At 40.5% G+C, this 8114-nt stretch overlaps 1 annotated feature.

The window, feature by feature from the left end:
- Window positions 2241-2741: an enhancer, noted in NCBI's record as "H3K27ac hESC enhancer chr9:103687397-103687897 (GRCh37/hg19 assembly coordinates)". NCBI's record gives its function as "activates a minimal SCP1, AML or CMV promoter by ChIP-STARR-seq in naive H9 embryonic stem cells {active_cell/tissue: H9 hESC(naive)}" and the evidence as "EXISTENCE:reporter gene assay evidence [ECO:0000049][PMID:30033119]".

Here is an 8114-nt window from a genome sequence, read left to right as displayed (position 1 = left end):
AGTTGAAGTGGTGCTTCAAAAATAATTTTAAGCTAGATATTTATAGCATGTACAAAGCAAGCTTACAGTTATTTGTCACAGATATTTTAATCACATAATAGAAAATAATATTACTGATGAGTAAAGTTTAAAACACATGAAATCAAAAATCCCTACTGCTATACATTGTGTTCAACTAACAAGACAAACTCTAGTAAGCATTTATTGTAATATATGTAAATATGAGATTTCTCATTCAAAGGAGTGTCTTGTTAGCATTTACTTATGCCGTATTTCTCAATCTTTCAAAGAAATATTAATGATAATATATTTTAAAAACACAATTCACAAAGCCAGTAGAAATTAAGGCTGTCACACCGCCTAATGCCAAAATCTGGGAGAAACTAATTAATAACTAAGAAAGATAACATGAATTTAGAAAATTGACCAAAGCATCAGCTCATGGCATTAACCATCTTTGTTTTGTGGAAATAAAAGAACCATGAAAAATAAGGTAGGAAAAATCTACTATAATCCTTGCAACATAAAGTGTTTCTTAAACCCACATACAGGAGCTGCTCCCAGGAATCATCATTGTATAACTCTTAGAACTTTAGTGGAACATGAAGACCTCTGAACTCATGAAACCACTTTTTCCCATCTCCATAGGCATTCCTCTACATCCTCTTAGAGTCTGTAAATCCTAGAAAAATAACTGGGCAGGAAATGGAAGTAGAGGTTTAAGAGGGGCACAATTACAAATGGCATGGGGCATCTTAGCAAATTTATTCACAGTTTTTAATATCCTAGAAAATTAGGCAATGACGGAGAAGCCGCCCTCACTGGGGACATGGCTGCTAAGAAATGGGAATTTAAGACCTGTGTACATGAATCTTCCTTCTTCCAACAAGAAATCTAAGAAAGAGATTTGATCTCTGTGCAAATAGGAAGAAGTACATAGGCCAAATTAATCACCCTATTTGTTGATAAACACTAAGTCTATGTGATAGTTATTTTTTTGTGTTAACTTGACTGGACTAAAAGATGCCCAGATAGATGGCAAAACATTATTTCTGAGTGTGTTAGAATCGACAGGCTGAGTAAAAAAGATCCGTCCTTGCCAATGCAGGTGGGCATCATCCAATTCATTGAGGGCCTGAGCAGAACAAAAAGGCAAAAGAAAGATGAATTTGCTCTTTCTGCTTGAGCTGGCACATGCATCTTCTTCTGCCCTCAGACATTGGCTCTCCTAGTTCTCAGGCCTTCAGGCTTGCACTAGAATTACACCACCAGCTTTGTTGGGCCTCTAGCTTGCAGAGAGCAGATTGTGACAGATCGTGGGACTCCTCAGCCTTCATAATCATGTGAGCCAACACCTCATAATAAATCTCATATACATATATATGGTATATGATATATATAGCTATAGCTATAGATAGATATCTCTTATTTGTTCTGCTTCTCTGGGGAATCCTGACTAATGCAGTCTATATAGATGTTACCTTTACCAAGGATGAGTAAAAAAGAAATGTAAATATGGAACAAAACAAAATATAAAACTGCATAATAGGAAAAGGCAATATCCTGGAGACTCAGAGAAAAGCATACCTTTACAATACTGTCAATTGCAAGGTCTAAAAAAATTCCAGGAAATACCAGTAAAGTGTAAAATATATGTTATATATTTTAAAAAGCAACAAGTTCTTTTAAAAGCTGAGATGAGATGAAAGGGGGAAATGGATGAGATAACAAGGAATTGAAAAAACACAATAGCAGAATTTAAGACCACATTGAGAGGGTAAAGAACAAAATCGATGCTGCAGAAAATGGAAGAAGTTATGTCATTTAAAAACTTGAAAAGCCTTCTTAGAATGCTGGATTAGTCTGTTCTCACACTGCTATGAAGAAATATGCAAATTGGGCAATTTAGAAAGAAAGGAGGTTTAATTGACTCAAAGTTCTATAGGGCTGGGGAGGCCTCAGGAAACTTACAATAATGGTGGAAAGCACCTCCTCACAGAGTGGCAGGAGAGAGAATGAGTACTGAGTGAAGGGATAAGGCCCTTATAAAACCATCAGATCTCGAGAGAACTCACTCTGTATCACAAGGACAGCATGGGGGAAACTGCCCCCATGATTCAATTATCTCACCTGGTCCTGCCCTTGACATGTGGGGATTATTACAATTCAAGGTGAGATTTGGGTGGGGACACAGAGCCAAACTATACCATTCCACCCCGGCCCCTCCCAATGTCCTCACATTTCAAAACACAATCATGCACTTCCAACAGTCCCCAAAGTCTTAACTCATTGTAGCATTAACTCAAAAGTCCAAGTCCAAAGTCTTATCTGAGATAAGGCAATGCAATGGGGATACAGGTATTGGATGAATACACCCATTCTGAATGGGAGAAATTGGCCAAAACAAAGGGGCTACAGGCCACATGCAAGTCCAAAATCCAATAGGGCAGTCATTAAACCTTAAAGTTCCAAAATGATCTCCTTTGACTCCATGTCTTACATCCAGAGCATGCTGATGCAAGAGGTGGACTCCCATGGCCTTGGGCAGCTCCACCCCTGTGGCTTTGCAGGGCACAGCCTCCCTCCTGGCTGCTTTCATGGGCTGGCATTGAGTGTCTGCAGCTTTGCCAGGCACACAGTGCAAGCTGTTGCCGAATCTACCATTCCAGGGTTTGGAGGACGGTAGCCCTCTTCTCACAGCTCCACCAGGAAGTGCCCCAGTGGGGACTCTGTGAGGGGGCTCCAGCCCCACATTTCCCTTCCACACTGCCTAGCAGAGGTTCTCCATGAGACAGCCACCCCTGCGGCAGACTTCTGCCTGGACAACCAGGTGTTTCCATATATCCTCTGAAATCTAGACAGAGGTTCCCAAACCTCAATTCTCATCTTCTGTGTACTTACAGGCTCAACACCATATGGAAGCCACCAAGGCTTGGGGCTTGTACCCTCTGAAGCAATGGCCTGAGCTGTACCTTGGCCCCTTTTAGCCATGGCTGGAGCTGAAGCAGCTGGAACTCAGGGCACCATGTCCTAAAGTTGCACAGACAGGGGGAGCCCTGGGCCCAGCCCAAGAAACCATTTTTCCCTCCTAAGCCTTTGGACCTATGATGGGAGGGACAGCCTTGAAGTTGTCTGACATGCCCTAGAGACATTTTCTCCATTGTCTTGGTGATTAATATTTGGCTCCTCATTACTTATGCAGATTTCTGCAGTGGGCTTGAATTCCTCCCCAGAAAATGGGTTTTTCTTTTTTACTGCATTGTCAGGCTGCAAATTTTCCAAACTTTTATGCTCTGCTTCCTCTTGAACAATTTGCTGCTTAAAAACTTCTTCCACCAGATACCCTAGATCATCTCTCTCAAGTTCAAAGTTGCACAGATCTCTAGGACAGGGGCAAAATACCACCAATCTCTTTGCTTAAGCATATCAAGAAGCACCTTTATTCCAGGTCCCAACAAGTTCCTCATCTCCCTCTGAAACCACCCCAGCCTGGACTTAATTGTCCATATCACGATCAGCATTTTGGTCAAAGCCATTCAACAAGTTTCTAGGAAGTTCCAAACTTTCCCACATCTTCCTGTATTCTTCTGAGCTCTCCAAACTGTTCCAACCTTTGCCTGTTACCCAGTTCCAAAGTCACTTCCACATTTTTGGGTATCCTTATAGTAGCACCCCACTCTCCCAGAATCAATTTACTGTGTTAGTCCATTCTCATGCTGCTATGAAATAATACCCAATACTGGGTAATTTATAAAGAAAAGAGGTTTAACTGACTCACAGTTCCACATGGCTGGGGAGGCCTCAGGAAACTTACAATCATGGTGGAAGGCACCTCTTCACAGGGTATCAGGAGAAAGAATAAGTGCCCAGGGAAGGGGGAAGCCCCTTATAAAACCATGAGATCTCATGAGATCTTACTCACTATCATGAGGACAGCATGGGGGAAACTGCCCGCATGATTCAATTATCTCCGCTTGGTCCCACCCTTGACATGTGGGGATTATTACAATTCAAGATGAGATTTGGGTGGGGACACAGAGCCAAACCATGTCTAATGTGGGGACTAAAAATAACCACATATAACTAATGAAAGATACCATTATAGATACGGAAGAAAGAAAACAGAGAACAAATATTCCAATTTTTAGTGATGTTTAGTGATATTAAAGGAGAGACCAGAGCAAATTGAACATTATGAAGAAATCAGAATAAATTTTAAAAGAAAAAATGATCAAAGCTATAGTTTAACAAAATCCTTGAGCTTAGGAAAAATAAGTGCATACATTTCTTAAAGGGTTCCATACGTCTAAGAAAAACCTGCTAAAGATACACAACCACTACCTATTTGGATGTCTTTTATTTCTTTTGCCTGATTGCTCTGGCCAGGGCTTCTAGTACTATATTGAATAGCAGGGTGAGAGAGGGCATCCAAATCTTGTTCTGGTTTTCAAGGGGAATGCTTCTGCCTTTTGCCCATTCAATATGATGTTGGCTGTGGGTTTGTCATAGATAGCTATTATTTTGAGGTATGTTCCTTCAATGCCTAGTTTATTGGGAAGTTTTTTTAACATGAAGGAATCTTGAATTTATCAAAAGCCTTTTCTGCATCTATTGAGAAAATCATGTGGGTTTTGTCTTTTGTTCTGTGTATGTGATGAATCACATTTATTGATTTACATATGTTCAACCAACCTTGCATCCCAGGGATAAAGCCTACTTGATCGTGGTGGATTAGCTTTTTGATATGCTGCTGGATTCAGTTTGCTAGTATTTCGTTGAGGATTTTTGCATTGATGTTCATGAAGGATATTGGCCTGAAGTTTTCTTTTTTTGTTGTGTCTCTGCCAGGTTTTGGTAGCAGATGATGCTGGCATCATAGAATGAGTTGGGGATGAGTCCCTCCTCCTCAATTTTTTCAAATACCTTACATGCGGCCAAGAAGCATTAAAAAATGCTCAATATCACCAATCGTTAGATAAATGCAAATCAAAACCACAATGAGATGTCATCTCACACCAGTCAAAATGGCTGTTACTAAAAAATCAAGAAATAACAGATACTGGCAAGGTACAGAGAAAAGGGAACACTTACACACTGCTGGTGAAAGTGTAAATTAGTTCAACCATTGTGGAAAGAAGTGTGGCAATTCCTCAATGAACTAAAAACAGAACTACCATTTGACCCAGCAATTCTACTACTGGGCAAATATCCAAAGGAATATAAATCATTCTACCATAAAGTCACATTCACATGTACGTTCACTGCAGCACTATTCAATATAGTGCTGCAATACAATAGCAAAAACATGGAATCAACCTAAAAGCCCATCAACAGTAGACTGGATAAAGAAAATATGGTACATACATACCATGGGATACCATGCAGCCATAAAAAATAACAATATCTTGTTCTTTGCAGGAACATGGACAGAACTGGTGGCCATTATTCCTAGCAAACTAGTGCAGGAACATAAAACCAAGTACTCTATGTTCTCATTTATAAGTAGGAGCTAAGTGATGAGAACAAATGGACACATAGTTGGAAACAACAGACACTGGGGGACTATTGAGAAAGGAGGACGGGAAAAGGGAGAGGTTCAGGGAAAAAAAAAAAAAAAACCTGTCAGCCAGGCACGATGGCTCACGCCTGTAATCTCAGCACTTTGGGAGCCCGAGGTGGGTGGATCACCTGAGGTCAGGAGTTCGAGACCAGGCTGGCCAATATGGTGAAACCTCGTGTCTACTAAAAATACAAAAAAAAAAAAAAAAAAAAAACAGCTGGGTGTGGTGGCACGTGCCTGTAATCCCAGCTACTCAGGAGTCTGAGGCAGGAGAATTGCTTGAACCAGAGAGGTGGAGGTTGCATTGAGCCGAGGTCGTGCCATTGCACTCCAGCCTGGGCAATGGAGCAAGACTCTTGTCTCAAAAAACAAACAAACGAAAAACTGTCAGGTACTATACTTAGTACCTGGGTAATGAAACAATCTGTACACAAAACACCCAAGTCATGAATTGACCTATATAACAAACCTGCACATGTACCACCAAACCTAAAAGTTAAAATATTTTAAAAATAAAAGAAACACAACCTCTTGGCAAACCTGACAAAATTTTGAACAATCAAAATAAACGAATTTTTTGAAATCTTGTAAACATCTGGACAAGATTACTGATACCTGAATAAACTTACCTCTAAAGAATTGTCTTCCAGTGGGTTCCCCCAAAGAAGATTCTGAGACAAGAGTTTGCTGATCCCAGGAGGAACCTGTAGAGGAGTGGGTACATGAAATAAGGAAGAGTCAGTAATGATTAAAGTCACCTTTATTGAGATTGTTACAGCTGTAGGCAACTGAAGCTCAACTGTAATGGAGAAATCTAGGAATATAAAGCATTATCCCACTTAAGGGGTGAGGAAGCTGAGATATTTATCCTGAACTACTATCCATCTCTGGCTAAAAGGTGACGAAGGGATCTTAAATCCTGTTACTTCAGGCCAGCCCATGTGCTGACAGAAGTTCTCAGCACAAAGTCAGATGCTTGTAGTAGGACACTGTTGCCACATGCTAAAAAGGTGAATATTTAGGTTATGTGGGAGAGTACTGAAAGCATCTATGTACAATGATCAAGAACCTAGCTAACCAAGGCTTCCTTTGTACACCACAACAAAAAATGCTAGAAGGCGGTGAATTAATGTCAGCAAAATTTCTAGAAGAAAAGAATATGTATCAATAACTTGATATCCAACCAACTCTTTTATAGGCAAATACAACAGCCAGACATCTACATATGCAAGACCTCAAAAACTGTATGGCCCATGCACCATACCTTTTAAAAAATAGTTGAACATTTCCATGCAAAAATAACATTTAATCATACTTATTTAACTCTCTTCCCTCCCAAATTCCCTTTGAAATTTCAAAGCAAGAAAAAAATGTTCATCCTCAGCATAACCCAGAAAATAACTTCATCCATCATCCAGAAGCTTCAAGGTATAGCAATTTCTACAAGGTATAAGAAAAATAAGATCTGGCTGAAAAATTTACTGAGCATCCCAAGGTTCAGTGCATGCATATTTAAAGTAATTATTAAGAAGAGATCTAATGTGGGGCAGCTTCCCAAGTGACTCCCAGTGATCTCTGCCTTTGGTATTCATACTTTTGTGTAATTCCTTCCCAATGTACACGCATGTGTGCTGAACCTAGTGACTTGCTTCTAATAGAATACAGCAAGAATGATGGCATATCGTGTTTTAGATTAGGTTATAAAAGACTGTGACTTCCCTTTCGATAGTCCTCTCTCTCCTGCTGGTGCTCCTTCTTGCCTGCTACCTTGCTCACTCTGCCATGTTGTGAGATGCTCTGTGGAGGGACCCATGTGGCAAAGAACTAAGTGTAACCTCTGACCAGCAGCCAGTGAGAAACTGAGGCCTTCCAACAACCACATGAATGAGCTTGGAAGTGGGCGCTTCCCCAGGTGGACCTTGAGATGAAACTACAACCCCAGCCTATACCTTGACTGCAGCCTATGAGAGACCCTAAAAAAAAAAGTCCCAATTAAGATGCCCAGATTCTTAGCACTCAAACTGAGATACTGTCTTAAGCCAAGTTTAGAATAATTTTTTACAAAGCAAATAGTAAACCCAGAAATCTCTCCTAACATGGAATTTCAGGACTTGGCAAGAACGCTGGGTCATCAGGATGCAGTGGATACATTGAACAAATTTAAGTTCTGCATCAGTACCCATGCTAACCTTCCTTGTGAAGCAGTGCTGTTCTCAATGGTGGAAGCGTTACTACAATGAGCTCTCAAACACTGTGGGCATGCCTGTTAGAGGTCAGCTTCAGACCCTCAGCCATCTCTCTGTTGCTGCCTGTAGTATACCCAGGGCAGGGCAGTGGGAGTGCTCATATTTAGTGTGAAAGCAATAAGTGGGTGCATATTCTGGGGAAATTTTAAATACTATAAATAAAGCCAACTAAAAGTCTGATTTCTGTTATCGCCATGTACTGGCAATTCTAAACAATGTCAAGGCAACTCCTCCCCATCAGGCCAGACAGCCTTTACCGCCTCCCCTTTGGTACATCACTGACTGCTATGACAAAGATTTTACAAATG

This window comes from Homo sapiens, chromosome 9 (assembly GCF_000001405.40).
Source record: "Homo sapiens chromosome 9, GRCh38.p14 Primary Assembly".
NCBI classification, from domain to species: Eukaryota; Metazoa; Chordata; class Mammalia; order Primates; family Hominidae; genus Homo; species Homo sapiens.
The sequence above is the reverse complement of the archived record's forward strand: the minus strand, read 5'-3'. Positions and strand labels throughout refer to the sequence as shown.